Source organism: Homo sapiens, chromosome 11 (assembly GCF_000001405.40).
Source record: "Homo sapiens chromosome 11, GRCh38.p14 Primary Assembly".
NCBI classification, from domain to species: domain Eukaryota; kingdom Metazoa; phylum Chordata; class Mammalia; order Primates; family Hominidae; genus Homo; species Homo sapiens.
Window position 1 is genome coordinate 116,748,173 of NC_000011.10, and position 25,196 is coordinate 116,773,368.

At 41.9% G+C, this 25,196-nt stretch overlaps 1 protein-coding gene across 3 annotated transcripts, besides 1 other annotated feature; it reads right to left on the reverse strand.

The window, feature by feature from the left end:
• Positions 1-24,815, reverse strand: BUD13 (BUD13 spliceosome associated protein). 3 transcript variants are annotated; one of them, NM_001159736.2, is made up of 10 exons: positions 24,650-24,815; positions 21,957-22,050; positions 17,190-17,274; positions 14,783-15,094; positions 12,563-12,780; positions 10,902-11,007; positions 10,097-10,235; positions 9,594-9,778; positions 8,974-9,055; positions 1-403 (listed from the first exon to the last, which is right to left on the reverse strand). In NM_001159736.2, exons 1-10 carry the CDS (start codon positions 24,790-24,792, stop codon positions 310-312), a joined length of 1,458 nt encoding a protein of 485 aa, NP_001153208.1. In that variant the 5' UTR covers positions 24,793-24,815; the 3' UTR covers positions 1-309. The 3 variants fall into 3 exon arrangements, with proteins under 3 accessions (NP_001153208.1, NP_116114.1, XP_011541337.1); NM_032725.4 differs by having other exon boundaries at positions 14,381-15,094; XM_011543035.3 differs by having other exon boundaries at positions 14,381-15,094; positions 23,815-24,815.
• Positions 24,954-25,153: a silencer, noted in NCBI's record as "silent region_3923". NCBI's record gives its function as "represses an Ori minimal core promoter by ATAC-STARR-seq in GM12878 lymphoblastoid cells {active_cell/tissue: GM12878}" and the evidence as "EXISTENCE:reporter gene assay evidence [ECO:0000049][PMID:35858748]".

The following is a 25,196-nucleotide window of genomic DNA, read 5'->3' on the forward strand; positions in this document are numbered from 1 at the left end:
TTTTAAAAAAATAAATACATGTTTATTTAAAAAAGAAAAAGAAAAACCCTACCAAGAACAAACCCTGGTCAATGAGAAATCAATGCTTCCTCTGAAAGCCAGCAACAGCCGGTGCTGTCACACCCAAGAAGTACAGGTACCTCAGTCCAAACATCAGGTCTCGAATATTCTTCTGTGGTCAAAACTGGCATTCAACAAGTTGCTGGTCTGTGTGGGCTCCAATTATTAGCACAGACAACTGTTACCACTGGATATCTCGCTGCCTATGCCCACTACCACAGCCCAGCCACCCCCACAGCCTCAGGAAAGTTACATATCCTCAACACTCCATTTGTAGGCAAGTTCCTCCACTGCCTTCTTGCTGGCAAGCCTGGCAAAGCGCTTCTGTTCAAATCCATTGGATCTGCAATCAAAAGAGACATACTATTCAGCTAGAACCCTGAAAGGGGCATTTGTTTCAAAAGAAAGGGAAGAGTTCACAATATAATGAAAAGGGGGGAAAGTAAGGAGTCATATGAAAATATTTTAGGCATGGCCGGGCACGGCGGCTCACGCCTGTAATCCCAGCACTTTGGGAGGCCAAGGCGGGTAGATCACGAGGTCAGGCATTCAAGACCAGCCTGCCTAATATGGTGAAACCCTGTCTCTACTAACAATACAAAAATTAGCCAGGTGCAGTGGCAGGTGCCTGTAATCCAGCTATTCGGGAGGCTGACGCAGGAGAATCGCTTGAACCTGGACAGCAGAGGTTGCAGTGAGCGGAGATCGTGCCACTGCACTCCAGCCTGGGTGACAGAGACTCTGTCTCAAAAAAAAAAAAAAAAAAAAAGAAAGAAAGAAACAAAAAAGAAAAGAAAATATTTAAGGCATATGCAATAGAATCAAAGGGACAAAATATATCATTCATCCTTTTCTTAGTCCTTGTTCACACCCTTCCCCCACTCTGACAGCTATTTCAAACGTTTGCCACTCTAAAAGCCTGGTTCTCTCTCAGCTGATGTCCACATCTTATATTTTATCCATTCATTACACAAACATTTATTGAATTTTCATTATATACTAGGTACCATGGTAGACACTACATGAAAATGAGTATGACACAGCACCTGTCCTGATGAACTCCCAGACTAGTGGAAGAGAGAGACATTTAAACAAATAAATTAAAAGAACAGCATAAACTCTGGTAGAAATACGCATGGGGTGTCATGGAAACAGAATGGGTATCTTAATCAGCTTGGGGGAGGTATGATAAAAAGGTGACATGAGGGTTGGGCAAGAATGATCAGTAAAGGCTCTGTGTTAACTACAGCACTGGGGATGGAAGGGCCAGAAAGGGTCTGGAGGTCATTTCAGAACAGAATGAGCAACAAGAACAAAGGCACGGAAATAAGAAGTGGCCTGGTATGTGCAGCAAACCAAAGGCAAACTGGTATGGCTGGAACCTGAAGTATGACAAAGGGAACAGCCATGAGTCAAAGTTGGAAAGGCGCAGAGGCCAATGCATAATGAGCTGCGTAGGCCATGGTAAAAAGCTTAGATTTCATCCAGAAACGATGGGTTTAAAGCAAGAACTTAAACTGCATTTCAAAGAGATCACTCTGGAGGGGATCTGGGGCAGGAAAATCACTGCAATGGTCCAGGCAACAGATGATGAAGGCAATGATAAAGAGGGACGGAAGAGAGAAGACACAGGAGGCAAAATTAGTAAGACTAATTAGCAGCACTAATTGATTAGGTACACAAGGACAAAGAAGGAGGAGGCAAGTTAGAGAGCACAAGAGTAGGAGCAGGCTTACAGTAGAAGCTGATGAGTTCAGCTTTGAATACAATGCATTTGAAATCTCTCAAGTCTAAATCAATAGAGAAATCCAACAAACAGCTAAATACACCAGACCAAGATGCAAATACTGATTTGGAAATCATGTACATATAGGTCATAGTTGAAAACATGACTAGGTAAGAATCAGCCAGAGGGAGCACATAGAGTGAGAACAGCTAAAAATTATGGATGGAGCCCTGGGAAAGACTTAAGAGGTGCACAGAGGAAGAGGAGTTTGCAAAGGTGGCCAAGAATGATCAGAGAAAAGAACCAGGAGTAGGGTGTCATGGAAAACAATACAGGGGTGAATTTCAAGGAGGTAGTGAGTGGACCTCAAATCCCTTTAATTACCATGCATTCTCTTGGTCTTCTTATCTAAACTTCTTAAAAAGCCTGTATTCACTATTTGTTTCCTCACTTTTCATTCACTCCTTAATACATTAGAACCTGGCCATTGTTTCACTACACAACGGAACTAGCCCTTTCAGGTCATCACTGACATTCCTTGTTGCCAAATCCAATGACTCCTCCTTCCTCTTCCCCAAATCAGCAAACAGGTCCCACCAGCTCACCCCTGACCACATCCCCACTTCCTATTCTCTTACTAACCATCCTTACTACCACTGCCTGCAAGTCGTAGTTCAGACACTCATTACTTTCAGCCTGAGCTACTGCAAAAGCCTTGTATCTGTTCTACTTCCAATCTTGTACCTTTCAAATCCTTCATATTACTGCTATAATGGATTTGTCTATCTAAAATGCAGAGCTGTTTTTAATCCTTCCGTGTCTCCCCTTTACCTCTAGGGTGAAGACCAAGCTCCTCAGATAGGCTTCCAGGGCCTTCTGTGATCACGGTCTGCCAACCTCTCTCATCCATCTCACGCTTTATGCTATCCAACAACAGCAAATTACTTAGGGACCCCCACCACCTGGTAACACCATGGTGTCTCATAGCCTTATGACTCTGCACATATAGGACCCTCTTCCTTTAATATCCTTCCTTTCCTTCTTATCTTGGCTGGTTACCAACATCCCTTAAAACTCAGCTCCCACATTTCATCCGTTAGGAAGCACTTCCTGATCACTCACATCCTCCTAAGGCTCAACTTACTCTTCCTTTGTGCTCCCAAAACATCTTGAAAATCTTCTATAGTAACACTAACCAAACAGCGTTGAAACTGTCTGTCTTCTATTCTAGATTGAAAGTGAGCTCCTGGGCTCAGGGGCTATCTCTCTTTAATCATGGAATCCCTAGTACCTACTACCTAGCTGCTTACACTTATAACATGTATGCTAAGACTTTCCCTTAAGGGATGAGTGGAGTGAGTAACAGAGGGCTTTAAGAAGGGAAGCTTGGCCGGACATGGTGGCTCACGCCTGTAATCCCAGCACTTTGGGAGGCCGAGGCAGGTGAATCACCTGAGATGAGAAGTTCGAGACCAGCCTGGCCAACATGGTGAAACCCTGTCTCTACTAAAAATACAAAAATTAGCTGGGCGTGGTGCTCACGCCTGTAATCCCAGCTACTCGGGAGGCTGAGGCAAGAGAATTGCTTGAACCTAGGAGGCGGAGGTTCCAGTGAGCCAAGATCGTGCCATTTTGCACTCCAGCCTGAGCAACAAGAGCGAAATTCCGTCTCAAAAAAAAAAGAAGGGAAGCTTATTATAAATGGCATCCTCTCCAACCTTAGAAGCATGGATGGTATTCCAAAGCACCAAGGAAACCACTGTTTTTTACCTTGGAAATAAGGTCTTAAGAGAGTTACACTAATATGATAATACAAAGGACATATGAATAACAAACACCAAATCCTAAGCAGAATCAGAAAACAAATTGCAGGAGAACTCACAGTGGAAAGAGCTTTGGACCAGAGAATCAGGAACGCAGAGTTCTAATTCCAGCTTTCTCAGGGAAATTGCATGACTCTAGGCAAACTGCTTATTTATTGGGCCTCAGTTTCTCTTTTTTTTGAGACGGAGTCTTGCTCTGTTGCCCAGGCTGGAGTGCAGTGGCACGATCTCGGCTCACTGCAAGCTCCGCTTCCCGGGTTCACGCCATTCTCCTGCCTCAGCCTTCCGAGCAGCTGGGACTACAGGCGCCCGCCACCACGCCCAGCTAATTTTTTGTATTTTTTTTAGTAGAGACGAGGTTTCACCATGTTAGCCAGGATGGTCTCAATCTCCTGACCTCGTGATCTGCCCGCCTCGGCCTCCCAAAGTGCTGAGATTATAGGCATGAGCCACCGCACCCGGCCCCGTTTCTCTTTCAATTAAGAGAGGCTGGGTAATTATCTTATGGGTTTTTCCAACAGATACTATATATCTGTTCCGGAAATATTCCCTTGCAGCAGGCCGAAAAGAGACAAAACTAGAAAAGATGATGAAAGATGAATAACAAAAAGAAAGCAAGGGTGACAAAGGGAAATAAGAGAAGAAATCTAGGATAAAATCAGAACAAGAAGTGGAAAAAAGCAACTGAGAAAAATGAAGACAAATTAAATACTAGTAAAAAAAAACTAGGTCAGGGAGAATTCTAAGTTTTGGGTCCAAAAATTAAAAAACAAAAAACAAAAACTCGGTAGCAGGGAACATCTGTAGGGTTGTGCTATAAAAAGATCTACTTCTGGCTGTATGTATGGCAAATGAGTGTTCTGAAAAATCCTCCTTCTACCAAAAAGCCTACATACAGTGAACTGCAAACGGAACTAGTAAGCTAGCCTGTAACCACAGCTACCCTAAAGATATCTGCCAAGATGAGGAACTACAGTCAACTTATAGATATCTGCCAATATCAGAAAGAAGAGCCTTAAATTTTTTTATTCTGGAGTTGGGGTCTCACTATGTTGCCTAGCCTGGACTTAAACTCCTGGGTTCAAGCGATCTTCCTGCCTCAGCCTCCCAAATAGCTGGTACTACAGACACACGCCACCACACCTGGCTGTTGGATTTTGACGGCACCCCGAGGGACAGAAGACAACGCCTTAGGCCCATATAAGGTGGGGAGACAGATTCTAGACATTGCAGAGTAACCCGAACAGACTAACCTATCCTCAGTTAGCAACTATAAAACCTAGACAAAACAAAAAAAATAGGTATTTGAAGGTGTGGAAGAGTGACCAAAAGTAAGTATGAACTGGATGAAGTCTATATGTGAAAAGAGATTTGCTGGAGGGCAACTTCCCAAACAGCATGGCTCATGAAGGCAGAAAGCCACAGGCTTACTGGCTTGAGGAATTAGTGCAAAGTGGGCAGAACAGCTAGGAAATTAGGGGGGAAATCTTGGAAGAGAAGGAACTACAAAAGAGATGAACCTCAAAATCTACATACAAACCCTAGTCAAATCCTTGGCTAACTGTTAAATGACACATGTGCAGAGAAAATACCATCAGGCCAATTAAAAAAATGGCAGCTAGAAACTAAAAGAACTGAGCAAAGATTGTAGCTGCCGTCCACTGCAAAGGAGACAGTTTGGAGTTCAGCTATGTTAACTACCTGCTAGAATAAAAACTAACACACTTAAGAGGAATACAGTGTAACAGAACTCAAAGTCTCTACAGTGTATCATTCATGATGCGTAGTAACAATTTTAAAAAGTGACCAGACAGGTAAATAAACAGGAAAATGTAATACACACTGAAGAAAAAGCTGTCAATAGAAACCAATCCTGTGGTGAATCCAATGTTGCAATTAGCAGACAGGACTTCAAAGCACTAATTACATATCATAAATATTTTCAAGAAGAGGAAAATGTCTCATAATGAACAGATGGGAAATCTCAGCAGAGAAATGTAAGCTATTAAATGGAAATTTTAGAGTTGAAAAACAAAATAAACCAGCTAAAACAAAAAATCCACAATTGATAGTAACTGATAGAAAAATACAAACACAAAAAACCCAGAATACAGGCGATCTAAGATCTAAACACCTTGACCTCACTGACTTTTATAAAACACTACCTTATATAGCTACAGAATATACGTTCTCTTCAAGTGCAAAGGAAACATTCAGAAGATAGACTATCCACTGGGCCATAAAACACACCTTAACAAATTTCATTTTTATTATTGTTTTTTGATACATGGTCTCACTCTGTCATCCAGGCTGGAGTGCAGTGGTGCAATCACAGCACATTGCAGCCTCGACCTCCCTGGGCTCAGTGATCCTCCCACCTCAGCCTCCACAGTAGCTGGGACTATAGGCGTGTGCCACCATGCCCGACTAATTTTTGTATTTTTTTGTAGAGACAGGGTTTTGCCATGTTGCCCAGGCTGGTCTCAAACTCCTAGGCTCAAGCAATCCGTCTGCCTTGGGCTCCCAAAATGTTGGGATTACAGGCATGAGCCACTGTGCCTGGCCAACAAATTTCAAAAGATCAAAATATTACAGTATATTATCTGACCAAAATGGAATTAAATTATAAGTAAATAGCAGTAAGATATCTAGAAAAGTCCAAATATTTGGAATTAATGCACTCCTAAATAACCCATGGAGCAAAGAATAAACCAAAAGGATAATTAGAAAATATTTTGAACAAAATCCAACATACATTCCTGAAAACAAAACTCTCAGCAAAACAGGAATAGAAGGGAACTTTAACTCCATAAAGGATATCTACAAAAAACCTATACAGCTACAACACATTTAATAAATGTGTTGTAAAAACTAAATGTTTTCTTCCTGAGATTAGGAACAAAGCAAAGATGTCTGCTCTCACTACTTCTATTCAACATCTGCACTGAAGTGCTAGCTAATGCAACAGGGCAAGGAAAAGAAACAAAAAGCATCTAGATTGTAAAGTAAGAAATTAAACTGTATGCAAAGATGGAAGACCCTCTAGGTACAAAATCTGATGGAATCTATAAAAAGCTATTGTACAAAGTGAGCTTTACCTGAAGGAAAACAACTGACAATACAGTGTAACAGAACTCAAAGTCTCTACAGTATATCATTCATGATGTCCAGTAACAATTTAAAAAAGTGACCAGACAGGTAAATAAACAGGAAAATGTAATACACACTGAAGAAAAAGCTGCCAATATAGAAACCAATCCTGTGGTGAATCCAATGTTGCAATTAACAGACAGGAAGGACTTCAAAGCACCAATTACATATCACAAATATTTTCAAGAAGAGGAAAATATCTCATAATGAACAGATGGGAAATCTCAGCAGAGAAATTAAGCTATTAAATGGAAATAGCTCAAGCAATGGAAATGCCAGTGATAACATTTAAACTTTCAAGTGTAAATTAGAATTCTGAAAAACTGTGAACTCTTTAACTTCCCATTATTTAAAGAGTTTTGTGATAAGACCGGAAGTGATGTTAACAAAAGTGATTTTCTGATATTGTATAGTGGAAATATGTCAACATTTGGAAGGTCTGAACAACTCAGCAAACCAATATTTTACAAATGACCAATGCATGATGTTATAAAATCATGCATGGGTAAAAGATCCACTCAAAGTATTAAAAAAATTAATATAACAGTAAGGAAAGTTCTTTGATCTGGTTTCAGGTTCCACATAGCTCACCTTTAAGAAACCAGCACTTGTTGAGTTTTTGTGTAACATTAAGAAATATAATATGCCTTCTCTTTCTAACTACCTATGTGTGAGGCTAAATTTTCTTTCTATACTTCAACTGAACAAATCACAACAGACAAATACAGAGTCAAGTTACCTATTATTAAGTCAGACATTAATGAGATTTGCAAAAATGTAAATCAATGCCATCCTTCTGTTTTTTCACTTGGAAAATGTAATTATTTTTCATTTAAATATACAGTAATTATGTTAACATAATTAGTTTATTTTTTTTTGAATGAATAAATACTTTTTAAATGTCTGAGTTTTAATTTATAATATGGTAAATATCAATATATATAATCCACATCAACAAAAGCTTTTTGAGGTCATCAGTAATTTTTAAGAGCGTAGGCCAGGCACGGTGGCTCAAGCGTGTAATCCCAGCACTTTGGGAAATCGAGGCAGACAATCATATGAGCCCAAGAATTCAAGACCAGCCTGGTCAATGTGGCAAAACCTCGTCTCTACTAAAAATGCAAAAATTAGCTGGATATGGTGACACATGCCTGTAATCCCAGCTACTCAGGCCACTGAAGCATGAGAATTGCTTGAACCCGGGAAGTGGAGATTGCACCACTGCACTCCAGCCTGAGCAACAGAGCAAGACTCTGCCTCAAAAAAAAATAAGAGTGGTTGGGCATGGTGGCTCACCTGTAATCCTGTAATCCTGTAAGCCTGTAATACCAGCACTTTGGGAGGCTGAAGTGGGCGGGTCACCTGAGGTCAGGAGTTTGAGACCAGCCTGGCAACATGGTGAAACTCCGTCTCTATTAAAGATACAAAAAATTAGCTGGGTGTGGCAGCGGGCGCCGGTAATCCCAGCTACTCGGGAGGCTAGGGCAGGAGAATCGCTTGAACCCAGGAGGCAGAGGTTGCAGTGAGCCGAGACTGCGCCACTGCACTCCAGCCTGGGCGACAGGGCGAGGCTCCATCTCAAAAAAAAAAAGACTGTAAAAGGGTCCTGAGATTAAAAAGTTTAAGAATTATTGTGCTAGATACTAAAACAATGTCCTTTAGTAGGCAAGAGGAGATGGGATCTAATATGTGAGTATACAAACTGACTTTGGATGGAAGCAAATATTCATCCATCATAACAGGAAGTTAGAGTACGTGGGTACAGATGTTGGTAGGTAGACAGATGAGGTGGGGTAGAGGACTGGAAGACATTAAAAGTGACTGCCTCCTAAAACCATAAAGTGAATAAAGATTCAGAGGCTACATTTTAAAGATATATCAGGTAGAAGGCTCCAGACTACAACTCATCACTCAACCCCTCTAAACCTTACAAAATATCATTAAAAGTAACCAATGTCCAAAACAAAGGGTGTCTTATCTGAACCACCTGAGGTGTTTGTCCAGAGCTTTAAAAAGTATTATGAAAAGGAAACAGAAGGAGGAGTGTTCCAAGCATGAGAAATAGGATTTGTGGACCTCAGAAAAAGAAGCAAGCAAAGTGCATATTTTTCACCTTGTGATTAAAGCAGAGAATGAAATAAAGTGTGGAGCAACTTACGAGTGGTTAGGGAAGGTTACAGTCAGGTAGAAAATGTAAGAAATACCCAGGCTTACCTGTCCACTCCGTCCCAGCGATATCCAGGCCAGATATTAAATCTGTTGGGAGGAGGTGCTGGACCACTGTAGCGAGGTCTCACTAATGAGAGGAGTAAGAAAAAAGTATTCAGTTAATGACATAGTTTAATTCAGAGCTGGATGGCAATGTGGAATTTTCCTTTTTTTTTAGTAGAGTCTCACTCTGTTGCCCAGGCTGGAGTACAGTGGCACGATCTCAGCTCACTGCAACCTCTGCCTCCTGGGTTCAAGCAATTCTCGTGCCTTAGCCTCCCAACTAGCCGGGATTACAGGCGTGCACCACCATGACCGGCTATTTTTTTTTTTTTTTTGTATTTTTAGTAGAGATGGGGTTTCACCATGTTGGCCAGGCTGGTCTCGAACTCTAAGGTGATCCACCCACCTCGGCCTCCCGAAGTGCTAGGATTACAAACATGAGCCACTGCGCCTGGCCTGGAAAAATTTTTATATAGAAAGACCAATTGAGTTGAATCTAAACTCACAAATACAATGAATTTAAATTATTTGGGAAATCCTTCTTTGCATATAGCTATGTATCAGCATCCTAATGATTCTCTCTTCACAAGTCACCTCCAGCTGATGATTCCCAGAAGTCCCACCTTTTTTATTCTTGTTCTCCTTGGCCTTATTCTTCTTGATGAAGTTGGCCATAGGGTCCCCCTCTCTTTCCTGTTCTCTTAGCATCCTATCCAGATCTTCGTCATCAATATAGCGGGCCAGAGGCTTTTGCATCTCTTTCATTGCATCCTCCACATTTTGTTGCTGTTGCCGGCTCTGGGCAAGCCTGGGCAAAAAGGAACCAAGAGTGTTTGCTATCCTGTATGACATTTCCACTTCTACACGAGATGGACCATACTGCTAAGTTTGGACAATCTCCTCTTTCTAGTACCCTAGGGCAAATACTGAGCAGGGTAAAATTCCCAGAATACCCACTAGAAGCGTGGAATATATCAATATCCTAGGAAGAAGATTCAGCACACCAAATTTCCCATTACTGATAACAGCTCTGAAGGCATAATAAGAAAGTGAGTGATCAGAAGAGCAGAGAAATGACTTGTTCCAGTCACTGCCATCTTGTTTACCCTTTCAGTGGTTCCCTTACCCTTTTCCCCACTGGGCATACAGCTCATCTCTCTCTGAGTCCTTTTCTGCTTTCCTCCTTTGCTCTAAACGTTCGAGTTTCAAATTCCTCTTACGACCAGACTTATCTCGAAATACGGTTTCAGCATATTGAAATTCAGCTGCAAAGGAAAATTATACTCAAATATCAGGATCAAAATCAGAAATAACATTCTAAGAGATCAAATCAACCGCTTGGGATTCTAATGCTAGATAAGAACTTCTGCAGCCAGACCAAAGTAGTTCCTACCAACATCTTGGTGCATATTGGCACTGGGCCCAAGAAATGGCATTTTCCTTTTTTTTTTTTTTTTTTTTTTGAGATGGAGTCTCACTCTGTTGCCCAGGTTGGAGTGCAGTGGCGCGATCTTGGCTCACTGCAACCTCCACCTCCCAGGTTCAAGCGATTCTCCTGTCTCAGCCTCCTGAGTAGCTGGGATTACAGGCATGCAACACCATGCCTGGCTAGTTTTTTTTTGTATTTTTGGTAGAGACAGGGTTTCATCATGTTAGCCAGGCTGGTCTTGAACTACAGACCTCAGCTGATCCACCCGCCTCGGCCTACCAAAGTGCTGGGATTACAAGCATGAGCCACCGCGCCTGGGCGAAATGGCATTTTTCAAGAAGGAAAGAAGCACTGGGATTCACTGAGAAATTACAACAATGCATAAAACCAGAGCTGAAATTTGATAGCAATTAAAAGTTCAAAATATCAGGTACAATAAGCTAAATTAAAAAAAAAAAAACAGTATGAGCCTAAATTGGTCTCTGCACTTTCATATTTTTACCTTCAAATGCCATGGTTTCTTGATCCTGTTCCTTGAGCTCCTGCTGTTCTCGCTGTATGTCAGTTAACACCAACCCAGTTTTAGCCCCAGAATACATGTGTGCAGCCTATGCAACGGAAAAGGGAGCATCCAACATTAATGAGATGATGTGACAGTAGGCTCCATGGGTACACAGTTAGTTGCATTTGTGTCTAATGACCAGCAATAATTAAACCTAAAACTCTAGCTTTATATTCTCAATAATTACCATAGGATTCAAAAACTATAAAAGAAAACCATCATCAAAACCATCAAGTTTAAGAATAAGCAGAAACACTAACAATATATTAAATGGAGGGCTACGCATTTGTATTTCTGACTTTTCAGTATATAAACTGCACACATGAAGACTATCTCAGGTCATCTGATCAGAAACCAGTATAAAGCACTAAGCCTTCCATTAGAGACCCATACTGATAAAATATTCCATTTACAGTACAAACTCAAGCAAACCTAAGATCCTTAAATTGTGGATATATTTCATGGTAATAACAGAAGATCTAACAAATGAAAACTTTTTGCTAATTTCCACTTAGCATCAAGATAGCAAATCAGCCCACGAATGAAGCACACAGTATATCTTGATATCCTTCAGCAACGAAATTGGAATAATATTAAGTTGTCCATGAACTAAATGGATATATAAAATGCCAAGAGGTCCAGCTGAAACAGAGACCTCTTTTTTCCCTAAAAAAGAAGAATCTCACTTCCTGGGTAAAGAACAGGCTGGTCTACCCTGCCAGGACCAGTCTTCTCAGAGTCTTCTACAGACAAGATTTACCTGATAAGTCTGCACTGGGGAGAAAAATGCACATCACAGGCTCTATCATTCTGTTTCTTAACCACTTACAAATAAGATTCCTTTACTACTACCAATGTTCTTTACAATATAATTACTCAAGGTTCATATGGATTTTGGGGTTTTTTGGCTAATTCATCAAGCCTTATCATGAATTTAAAACAAACCATTGACTTCTCAGACAACATGATTTCTAAAAGTGGTTTCATATTTTAAGTGCCTCTCCTTAAGCTCTGGATACAGAGACCTATAGTCCAATTTATACTAGTAAATCACTAACACTAGATGCTTACTTTGTCCCAGACACTGTGCTAAGAGTTTTACTTACACTGGCTTAATTATCATAACAACCTTACACAGTAGGTACTACTATTATCCACAATTTACAGATAAAGAAACTGAGGTTTAGAGATATTAAGCATCTTGCCCAAATCTCACAGACAGTAAGTGGCAGAAGGAGAATTTCTGTATGTGATCCGTTTGACACAATGCTTGTGCTCCAAACTTCACTCTGCAAATTACAGTCCTCGGTTTATTCCTAAGAAAATAGGAAGTTTTTCTAGACCTGTTAAAATGAGATTGTAGAATTAAGAGGCTATAAACGCAGAAGCTACTTGGGAAATCTGGTATCTGTAAGTCCATCTGGGATGGGTTATAGCCAGTTTGCCTTCAGAAGGAAAGACCTCCAAAGGTCCTTTTAACTAAGATTTACTACACTTCTCAGAGCTACATCCTTCTTCTTGGCTTGATTCTCTGGGACATATATAAAGCTGAGAGAGAAGAGTCACACGAAAAGAAGGACATGGCTCCTGAAAATCCTGACCTTCTTTCCAGGAGGCTGACTCCTTCGAGGCGGGGACAGGTCAGAATCAGAAGATTTGGTCCTCTGTCTCCTCCTTGGTGGAGAGAGGTCAGAATCAGAGCTCCGGTGTCTAGGTCTATTCCGTGGAGGTGACAGATCTGAATCAGAATCCTGGTGCCCTGGACTTTGTTTATGCCGTGGAGAAGAAAGGTCTGAATCAGTTGCTTTCTGGCAGTCACCTGGATAGGAGCAAAGAATCTGTGTGACTCTGATGTCCTCTAGGTGAAGAACTTACATGAAATCTCCTATGGCTGGGAGAAGAACCTAGAAATTAAAGAATTCCTTACATTATTATTATTTTTTTTTTTTTGAGACAGTCTCAGGCTGGAGTGCAGTGGCATGATCTCAGCTCACTGCAACCTCCGCCTCCTGGGTTCAAGCAATTATTGTGCCTCAGCCTCCCAAGTAGCTGGAATTACAGGTGTGTGCCACCACGCCCAGCTAATTTTTGTGTTTTTAGTAGAGATGGGGTTTCGCTATGTTGGCCAGGCTGGTCTTGAACTCCTGACCTGAGGTGATCTGCCCACCTCGGCCTCCAAAGTGCTGGGATTATAGGCTTGAGCCACCATGCCTGGCCAAAGAGTTCTTTAATCCCCTTGGAAGAATCTAAAAAGATAACTTACCAAGCTAATGTACAATATTTATTTAGTTTTCCTATGAAGAATTATCATTAACCTAAACATAAGTATGGATGGCACAGGAGAAGAGCAAAGTCAGAAACAACTTTTAAGACCAACAGGTAGAATATGGCATTCTATTCCCAAGTGACCACTGACTGTAACTGGTGTGTAAAATCTCCACACACTCCTCTATGTCAGTAACCCCACCCATGGAAAGACAAAATAACTTGTAGTCAGCTCTCCATAGTGTGGCAAAAGTCAGAAATACCTGGAATATAGTCTGATATCCTTGGACTAAAGGATAACAAAGTACTTTAATTTTAAAATTAAAATAGTTCCTAGGAACAAAAGAGGGAGTAAAAAATTTCACTGCACAGGCCTAAGTTCTAGCGACTGTATAAGCATCACAAGTCACCTCCCAAAGGGCATTCTGCAATATGTATCGACAGTCTTTAAAACGCCCACATCTTCTGACCCAGTACATCAACTTCTCAGCTTTCTAGGAAACTTATATAGAAGTAGTTGAATTTCGAGGAAATCTATCTAGAAGTAGATAAGGAAATAATCCAAAATGGGGACAACAGTTTATGTACAAGGATGTTCATTATAGAATTACAGAAGAAAAAACTTAGAAATAACCAAAAACATTCATTATTAGGAAAATGGTTAAATTTGTAATTAAACACTATTAAAAATTATACTAACATAAAGATGTTTTATGGCCTGAGGAAGACTACGTTAAGAAAGGACAGCAGGCAAGATTGCACATGCAATACAAATGTTCTACACAGCCAGAGCTCAACTATATAAAAAATGCAAACCAAAAAAGACTAAGATGACCCTGGCCACAACACTAACAATAATTGCCTCTGAATGACAGAATTTTGTGTCACATTTTATCTTTATATACTTCTGTACATTCCAAAGCTTCTGCAACAAATAAATTGTACTTTTATATGGGGTGGAGCGAGCACATAAAAAGACATATGAAAACCTTCCTCCCTGCCACCATAATTGTTCAACTCTCCCAAACCCAGCCTCTCACTTTTCAAAACTTTCCCAAAGAAATTCCATTCTTATACCTAATAAATCAACTAAACGGCCAAAAGAAAGCTCCCAGGGATACATACATCCCTCTCATGGACAGTCATATGCTCACCTTTGGAATCAAGCTGCTTCTTGTCTCCAAAATGGGATTTTGCTTGCTTTTTTCGTGGAGGAGAGATGTCAGGGTCATACTCATATTTGCTGTTCTTTGGGAATGACAAATGGGAGGCTCCTGACTCCTTCCAATGTGGAGAAGTCTTGCTAGAGGCTCTTTCTGGGGCTTTACCACTTTTGGTTCTGGGCAGGGAATAAGTGACATTAGGAGCCAAATCAGGGGAGTCATGACGGGCCCTTCTGAGTTGCTGTGTGTCTGAAGAGCCAAGAGTCCTCCTAGATGTGTCAGGGGAGTTGTTATGGACCCTTCTGGGGGAAGAGATATCTGAGGAACCATGACGGGCTCGCCTAGGAGGAGAGGGATCTGGTGAATCATGACGGACTCTCCTAGGAGATGCACCTGAAGAATTATGCTGAGGCCTCCTTGGGGGAGAAGGATCTGGAGAATCATGACGGGCCCTCCTTGGGGGTGAAGTGTCTGAGGAGTCATGACGGATCCTCCTGGGAGGAGATGTGTCTGAGTCATGACGAGCCCCTCTGAGGGGAGAAGGATCCGGGGTGTCATGACGGGCCCTCCTAGGAGATGGATCCGGGGTGTCATGACGGTCCTTCCTAGGAGATGGATCTGGGGTACCATGACGGACCCTCCTAGGAGATGAATCCGGGGTATCGTGACGAAAATGTCTGTTTGAGGGTAGGTCTTCGTTGTGGCCTAAACACAAATAACAAAGAGTCAGATTCCCACAAATGCTCTGTCCCTCTGTCCACCCCCACACCCAGTTTCAAAAGATGCTCCAGTAGCACATACCTCAGAACTGCTCAGAAAGCCCAAAAGGCCTGCACAGTTTTCTTGCTTAGGGGCAGCAAACCACCACTCATGAATATCTTAAGAATAACCCCTCCGCCTACCAAGTCATAAATTTGCAAAGCATTTTCAGCACATTTTTCATATTATACCCTTTAAGGTAAGCAGGGCAGGTACCCTTGTATTACAGCATGAAAACAGAGGCCACAGCCTCTGTTTTCAGCTGAGGAGCTGAGTGATTTCTTACCTAAGGTCACAGCTCCTAAAATGAAGACACAGGCTAGAATCCAAGTCTTCTAACTCCCAGTCCAATGTTCTTTCTAAAACCTCATTTGTGCAGAGTTCCCAGCTAGTGGCTCCTACTGATATTTTGCCTAGATACTTTATAGTTTGTACTCACTCTTCTTTCAATAGGTAAATTGACTAAAACGGTGAATATCAAAATAAAATGCTGTTAACTATTTAATCCATTTCACTGTGCTCTTTCTTAGAGAGGGGAAAAATCACCATAAAAAAGAAAGGAGCAAGTAATTACCAATCACCTACTGTGTGCCAGTGTTTCATAGAGATTACCTGATTCAATTCTCACAACAAGCCTAGGACATAAATACTGTCATTTCATTTATAGATGAGGAAGTTGATACTCAGAAAGATTAACTTGCCAAAGTCATATTGCTAATAAGTGGTAGAGGAATATTTAAATCCAGCTCTATTTGACTCCAGAGTCCATGTGCAATCTTTAAAATATGTAAAGCTTTAAAGTTAAAATACATAGTTTGAGACCTTCCATATTCAAAGGCACCACAGAATGAAATATCTATAGCAACTGGAACAGTTTCAAAATCCAGTTCTTCCTCTACCTCTATTTCTTGTCATTGAGCTCCACAGCCCAAATACAAATAAAAGCTGGGTAGGAACTGATGAATACTTGTTAAATGGATGAATTAAACCAAGTCAACTCCTTTACTTTGGGGAACAGCCCTATCTGATTGGAATCCACTCCACAGAGAAAAGTATGATGTCTGTGGGGGGCCTAACAGTAAATCTGAAGGAAGCAAGGGTCAGAGATTGGTAAGCGTACTTCCAATAACAAATTGGGATGGGGGAGTGAAAGCAAGGCAGAAGAAAAGGAGTGAGTGAGTGTGAGTGTGACTGTGTGTGTGTGTGACTGACCTTCTAAACATTCAGATACACAAGAAAAGGCACCGTGTGTATGTGTGTGTCTGTGTGTCTTCCTAGACAAACAGACATGGAGACCAAAAGATTCTCTTTGGAAAAGAATTCTGATTAGGCTACAAAAATCAAATACCTACTAGCAATTAAACAATTCTACAAATATTTATTAAAGGTAGCTCCTTGTGCTAGATAGGGGAATATCATGGCAAATAAGACTAGTCTATGCTCAAACAGATGTGACAAACAAATGCTTTTTATCCAATTCTCAAGGACTCAAATTTTTTTAAAGAGAGTTAAATTAAGATTATTAGCTTAGGAAGAGTCCAAAGTGGGCAAGTGGAGGGTAATGCACTATAAAACACCAATACTTAAGGAAAGAAGAGAGAAATTTACTAACACAAACAGAACAAAATACACTGGTCCTTGACCCCCCAGAAATGAGTTGCTTCATTGTGGAAGAGGATAGTGGTAGCTAAAGTCCCCAAATTCTGCTCCTGTTTCTTGTAAACTCCTCCCAAAGTCTTGCCTATACACCAAGTGCTCTCCTATTCTGAGTCAAAGAGGAATGGGTGCTCAAAGGCCTCCAAATTAGTCACCAACCTCAGTAATCCTAATGCCAAAATATAAGAGAAAGAGGAATATCTGGTCTATAAGTTCCTATGTCTTACTACCTCTGAAGAAGTCCAACTTCCTTTTTCCTGCTTTATTTTTCAGGATCAATGACATGCTAAAACAAACTATGCATTCCTCTAAAGAAAAGTATAGAAAAGGAAAAAAGATCTCCCCTACTAATGGAAATTTAGATTTATCTATTGTTGGAACTCACCTCCCAGAAGCTTCCATTTGGCACTGGAACGAAAGGCCTCCATCTGCTTTACCTCTTCTGGCCGCTCATCCACAAACTCTGCCACCTGTGAGAGTAAAGATTTCCTATCTTAGGAAATCCACAGGATCCAGCCAAGAAGCACTGTCTCAAGAACCTGAAGTTACAACCATTCCGATTCCTAACACAAGGGCGTACATATATCCAAAATGGTCATGAAGAAGTAAGTAGGGGTCTTCAGTTATGTTTGCTCCATAAACATCTGATTGTCACTGTATTGGTTTAATTGTAGATCCTTCTCTAATTAATCAATTACCCTGCAAAGGTTAATTTTTTTCATTACAAACCTTTTTATTAACCTGCTAGGTACACAACAGCCACTTGTAAACTAACAACTAAATTCCTTTTACACTTTTACTTCTACATTAACAGTGGAAACATAGGTGGCTCCCCCCATCATGCCTAGCACTAATCAAGGACTTTGGGTTTCTATGAATCCTTTCTTGTTGTAGGTAGTCACAGTGATAGGTTTTCTTGAATACAACCAAAAAGAGCCACTGAGATGTACACAGAATCATTAATCTTTAAGAGCTAAAACCACATTTCATATCTTCTAAACTTCTGAACAAATCAGAATCTTCTCTATAGTATTCCTAATAAGTGGTCACTCGCCCAATCCCTTCCTGACAAGGAACTCATTATCTTACAACACAGTCCACTGCATTTTTCAAAAATGTTAGAAAGTTCTTAGTTTTACTAGTACCGTATCTGCCTTCCTATAACTTCTTTGAATTCATTCTAGTTCTGACCTGTGATGTAAGTCCACATGACAAACTTTCAAGATTGCTGGCATAATAAATCCTAGTTACAGAGTAGCAACTATGTGCAAGGTACTGTGTTTTGTGGTTTACTCATATAATCTAACTCGATTCTCACAATAATCCTGTAAAGAAAGGCTCCACACTACTGAATAGCAAACTGATTCGGAGAAGTTCAGTAACTTTCTCAATGTCACAAGCTAACAAGTGGCAGAACTGGAATTTAAATCCAGGTCATAATAGCCCTCTACTTCTCCCAAAATCCTACCATCATTCTTCATATAACCCAGTTTTGAGATCTCTCACTGAGCGTTAAAAGCACAGGTTTCGGGCAAGATGAATTAAGATCTAAACCCCAGCTCGGCCACTTAGCATTTGTGTAACCTTTGGTAAATTATTCTAAGCCTCAATTTCCTCATTTGTAAAAGTGGGATTCAAAGGATTGCTATAAGGATTGAATGAGATAATTCACGTAAGCTTAGCCATGCTTGGTACATGATAAATGCCCAATAAATGACACCTATTAATTATTCCTGTGCTGCCACTGCTATCGTAATCATCATAATCGTTTTACCATTATTACTGGTGGTGGTGGTGATCTTGCAGTTACAAAAATGAATTCAGTAATCAAGATCTGTTTTAACCAATGCAGAGAGCAGTGGCACTAAAGCCTCCTTTGTTTAGGTTTTTGGGCCATCATAAAAGCAAGACAATATTATAAAAGAAAATGGCCAGGTGCGGTGGCTCATTCCTGTAATCCTAGCACTTTGGGAGGCTGAGGCGGGTGGATTGCTTGAGCCCAGGAGTTCATGACCAGCCTAGGCAACACGGTGAAACCCCGTCTCTACCAAAAACACAAAAATTAGCTGGGCATGGTGGCAGGCGCCTGTAATCCCAGCTATTTGGGAGGCTGAGGCAGGAGGTTCACTTGAACCTGGGAGGCAGAGGCTGCAGTGAGCCAAGATTGAGCCACTGCACTCCAGCGTTGGTGACAGTGTGAGAATATGTCTCAAAAAAAAAAAATAATAAAAACAATTATGAACTAAGTGAAAAGGCAAATGATAAAATACACCCACAACATAAGCCTAATGAACATATAAAAAATGATTCATTTCACTAGTGTTCAAAGAAACTGGGCCAGGCACGGTGGCTCACGTCTGTAATCCCAGCACTTTGGGAGGCCGAGGCAGGCAGATCATGAAGTTAGGAGATCAAGATCATCCTGGCTAACACAGTGAAACTTCATCTCTACTAAAAATACAAAAAATTAGCCAGGCATGGTGGCAGGTGCCTGTAGTCCCAGCTACTCGGGAGGCTGAGGCAGGAGAATGGCGTGAACCCGGGAGGCGGAGCTTGCAGTGATCCGAGATCACGCCACTGCACTCCAGCCTGGGCAACAGAGTGAGACTCCACCAAAAAAAAAAAAAAAAAAAAAAGAAACTGGATACCATTACTCACTTGCTAAATCAGCATAGGTTTGCTATTGGTTTTGTTTTGTTAATAATCCTTCAATATTGGTGGGGCATGTGGCTAACACCTGTAATCCCAACACTTTAGGAGGCCTAGGCAGGAGGATCACTTGAGCCCAGGAGGTCAAGACCAGACTGGGCAACACAGAGACCTCATCTCTACAAAAAATACCCAAAATTAGCCAGGCATGGAGGTGCGCACCTGTGGTACCAGCTACGTGCAGGACTAAGGTAGGAGGATTGCTTGCACCTGGAAGGTAGAGGCTACAATGGGGCATGATCACACCACTGTATTTCAGCCTGGGCAACAGAGCAAGACCCTGTCTCAAAAATAATAATAATAATAATAATAATAATAATAATAATAATAATAGTGCTCTAATATTGACGACGTAGGCAAACTGGCATTCTCATCACCTCTAGTGGGAGTGTAAATTGGTAGCACCTTTTGGAAAGCAACATGGGAATATAACTAAAGCGAACCATACCCTTTGATCCACTCATTTCATTTTATGGGAATAAAGAAATAAACTGATTTCTACAAATGATTTATGTACAACGATGTATGATATTTTATAAGTGGAAACAATCCATGTATCCAGTAACAGAACAGATAAAATATATATATTGAACTACTACATAACCGTTAAAAATCATACACTCAAAGAATATTTTAAGGTCTTACCAGAGTATCCACAACATATTATTTAGCAGAGGAGTAGACTCCAAAACCCTATGTACAATATGATCCCAATTATGTTCAAAAAAATAAAATACAAGCGTGTATAATCTCTAAAGAGAAAAACCTGAAGAGATATGCATCCAAGTATTAGCAGTTATCTTTGGATGGTAACATGCAAGTGTTTATTCTTTTAAAAACTTTAAACTTTTTTTAATTCCCAAATATTCTGTAATAAATATGCATTGCTTTTATAAAATTAAAAAAAAACAACAAACATTGTTAATATTTACTTCTTCTGACCAAAACTAAATTGGCTCCCTAAGATCACTATTTCCCTTCTAATTACTAGCAAGCCCTCTTTTAAATAATCTATTTTAGAATTTTGCTGGGAATTGGCCAGGTGCAGTGGCTCACACATGTAATCCCAGCCCTTCAGGAGGCCGAGGTGGGCGGATCACGAGGTCAGGAGATCAAGACCAACCTGGCTAACATGATGAAACCCTGTCTCTACTAAAAATACAAAAAAAAACACAAAAAATTAGCCGGGCGTGTTGGTGGGCCCCTGTAGTCCCAGCTACTCAGGAGGCTGAGGCAGGAGAATGGTGTGAACCCAGGAGGCAGAGCTTGCAGTGAGCCGAGATCATACCACTACACTCAAGCCTGGGCAACACGGTGAGACTCCGTCTCAAAAAAAAAAAAAAAAAAAGAATTTTGCTGGGAATTAATATTAAATACTCACTGGAATCCATCTTTACCAACTTTAGTGGAATTCAGCCTATCTACAGCTCTCCTTTCCACTTTGTTTCTCAGAAATTCTCAGCAATGGTTTCATGAACCACTGGGAGGTCATTTGCCTATGATTTTGTCCACCTGGCTCTTACTTACCCTTCAAAACTCAGTATTTACATCTTTCAGGATATCTCCCAACAGAATACAAAGTATGCTACCTCCCCGGGCTCTAATGGTACTTGGTACGTATGTGAAACATCCCCAACATTTACCATACTGTTGAAATTTATCTGAAATTCAGTTTTTCATTCTAGGGTATAATCTCTAAAATACAGCTATGTTCTATTAATCTACATATCTCCAGTACTTAGGCAAGAATATACAATTTGAAAGCTTAGTTAAAGCACTGAAAAAAGGAGCAAATAAAAAGTTCCCTATAACTGAACCTCAGCATTGTTTTTAAGAAAGATTCCAACAAAATGAACCACAGCTAAGTCTCATCATTACTCTAACACTGATGTCGAGAAGTCCTCTCTCTGTGATCCATCTCATTTCTAGGCTGATGGACCCTCCATAAAGAGACAAGTTGGTGTATAGGCATCAGCAAAGAAAACTATTTTAAACAGCTCTTTGGAAACTGTCACCTCTTTTCTGTTCTCAACTAACCCCCCTACAAATCTACCCTAAGCTGGAAAAATAAATTTGAGAAGCTTGGCCTGGCACAATGGCTCACGCCTGTAATCCCAGCACTTTGGGAGGCCAAGGTGGGTGGATCACCTGAGGTCATGAGTTCAAGACCAGCCTGGCCAACATGGTGAAACCCCATTTCTACAAAAATTAAAAAAAAAAAATTAGCCAGGCATGATGGCGGGTGCCTGTAATCCCAGCTACTCAGGAGGCTGAGGCAGGAGAATCATCTGAACCCGGGAGGCGGAGGTTGCAGTGAGCCAAGATCATGCCATTGCACTCCAGCTTGGGTGACAGAGCGAGACTCCGTCTCAAAAAAAAAAAAAAAAAGGAAATTGAGAAGCTTGCTTCATTTCAAAATCCTGACAGCCCCAAAGATACATACCACAGGCAAATCTCCATCATCTTCCTCTTCCTCCTTTTCTAGTTTGGTTGTGGAGATAGCTGTCCAGCTCACATCATCATCCACAATCCGCATTCTAAATGAGAATAAGAAGATCAAAAAGAGTCATTCTAGGATACCAGCATAAAAACATTTATCTATTGGTTTTAAAATAAAGTTCAAAATCCTACAGGATCCTGCATGGTCCAGTCTTTGTCTACAAGGTCAACTTCATCTCCTACTGCTACTTCCTTGGTTGAACACCTCCCTGGTCATCCTTTGGTGCTTAGAAAGGAGCCAAGTTCCTATCACATCAGTTTTCACATATGCAGTTCCTTCCCTCTGCCTGATCTACTCTTTTCAATCTTTTTCTTTTTTTTTTTTTTTGAGACGGAGTCTCGCTCTGTTGCCCAGGCTGGAGTGCAGTGGCACGATCTCAGCTCACTGCAAGCTCTGCCTCCCGGGTTCACACCATTCTCCTGCCTCAGCCTCCTGAGTAGCTGGGACTACAGGCGACCACTGCCACGCCTGGCTAATTTTTTGTATTTTTAGTAGAGACGGGGTTTCACCGTGTTAGTCAGGATGGTCTCGATCTCCTGACCTCGTGATCCGCCCGCCTTGGCCTCCCAAAGTGCTGGGATTATAGGCGTGAGCCACCGCGCCCGGCCCTAGTCTTTTTCTTTTTTGAGACAGGGTCTCACACTGCTGCCCAGGCTGGAGTGCAGGGACACCATCATGGCTCCCTGCAGCCTTGACTTCCCGGGGTTAAGTTATTCTCCCTACTCAGTCTCCCAAGTAGCTGGGACTACAGGCATGTGCCACTGTGCCTGACTACTTTTTTGTATTTTTTGTAGAAACAGGGTTTCACCATGTTGCCCAGACTGGTCTCAAACTCCTAGATGCAAGCAATCCACCCGCCTTGGCCTCCCAAAGTGCTAGGAAACTCTTTCTCATTCCAGGAAACTCTTCCTCATTCTTCAGGTCCTAACACAAATTTAACTTCCTTTGGCAAACTTTTCTTGACTGCTTCACCCAATTCCCTCACCATCCCACACTCACTCAAGACTAAGAACCCTTGTTAAAAACTCTTGGAATACTTTCATTGCATTTATCATAAAGAAAATATATCGATTAGTTGTGTAATTAGTTGCTTAAAGCCTGTATTCCCATTAATCTATAAGCTCCACAAGAACAGGGACTATGTTTTTTTTGTTCACAGAGGCATCCTCAACACCCTACAGTAACTGGAATACGAAATATTCAATAAATGTTTGTTACGTGGATAAACTATATAGCTGAGCCCAAATAATAACAATGACTGCCATGATGTGAAGTTATTCAAAAAGCCAGGGTCACTTAATGCAATCCCTCTAATCACAACCACCACTTAATAAAACCATTATTATTATTATTCTCATTTTAAAGATAAGGAAACTGCAGCTCAGTGAGATGAAACACCTTGCCCAAGGGTACACAGCCTATAAAGTGGCACAGCTAGGATTCGAACTCTGACCAGTGCTGCTCCAACACTCAAGCTACTTTCATCACATGGCACTGCCTCCAAAGGATCCACACAAGTCAGCGAGGCAGAAAGACGAAGACAATAATAAGGCAAGCACCAAACCAGAAAAGAACTTGGACTAGTTCTTTAGAACAATGTGACTTCACTGGGTATCTCAGTGCCTTAGGGTTACTGTAACAAAGTACCACAAATTGCGTGGCATAAAACAACAGAAACTCTCTCGCAGTTCTGGAAGCTAGCAATCTGAAATCCAGGTGTCTGCAAGGCCATCCTCCCTGGAAAGTCTCTAGCAGAGAATCTTTCCTTGCCTCTCCCAGCTTCTGGTAGCCCCAAGCATACCTTGGCTTTTGGCAACATAAATCCAATCCAATCTCAGCCTTCATCTAGACATGGTCGTTTTTCCTTTGTTGCTGTGTCTGTATCCATACTTCCCTCTTTTTAAAAGGCAAACAGTCATCTTGGATTTGGCACCCACCTTAATCAAGTATGACCTCATCTTAACTGATTACATCTCCAAAGACCCTATTTCTAAATGTCACATTCTGTGGTTCTGGGTGGAAAACGATTTGGTAGGGCCCACTACACTGGGCCACAAAGTTGTCCCATATGAAAATAATACCCACTTCATGGTAGTGTGGTGAGGCTTAAATAAACTTATATATGTTTAAATTTCTTATAATGGTGCCTGGCAAGAAAAGTATAACTATATAAATGTTAGCTTCTCACGTTAGGACTATTACTAAGAGTAACAGGAGGTGATCAAAGGTCTCTGATTCAGAACCAAGTCCTTGGGATCTGGGAATCCCCACAGGCAGGTACCGGGCCCTAAAGATCCAAGCACAGAGGCTTTGAATCCGCTCCATTATTCTCGAGGCACAATATTCATTCTCTATGGGAGAGGACGGAAGTCTACCAAGGCGGGAAAAGAGTAATCAAAGTTACACCCCGGCTTTAACGCACTGACGCTACTGCTCAGAGGCTCGAGATGTAAGCGGGGCGGCAGAGGCAAGGCGGGGGGCCTCAAGCGATGTGAGTGGGGCCCTGAGCATGAGCAGGGGTCGGCGGAGAAGCCGAGAGACCCGCCAAGAGGGAAGGAACTGCCGGGCGGCCGAGGGCGGAGTTGGGAAGGGGTGGCTAGACGTCGCAGGCCCCGCCCCGGCCGGTACCAACTCACCCCTTGCCGCCGGCCCCGCCAGGCTTCGGCCGCTTTTTGCGACGCTTGCGACCGGACTCAGATCCCCGGTCGACGCCGGCATCTGCCCCGGACAAGTAACGCTTCAGATACTCGGCCTTGGAAAGCGGCGGAGCTGCCGCCATGGCAGCGGCGGGGGCAGAGAGACGGGTCGGCGCTGGGGACAAAATGCCTCAACGCGTAACGGACGCCAGCCACCCGACAGGGCGGGGCCACGGCCGGAAGTGGCGGAGAGTGCTAAGAATCGCGCGGCTGGCAGGTGCGGCCACCGGGACGCGCTCGCAGGCTAGCCAGGGACGTGCGCACCTTCGGGGCGCTCCACAGCCCTGGGACGACGCCACCAGGTTTCTTCTCTTCATTCACTCACCCACCCACCCACCCATCCATCCAACCGCAGCAAGCGCTGTTCTATGAGGCCACAACCTGACCCAAAGGACCCCGCCCCCATCGGCCGCCTAAACTCCAGAGCACGAGCAAGAAAGTGGAGGGCCACGGGCTGCAGCGTAGCCGAGTTTGAATACTGGTTCCA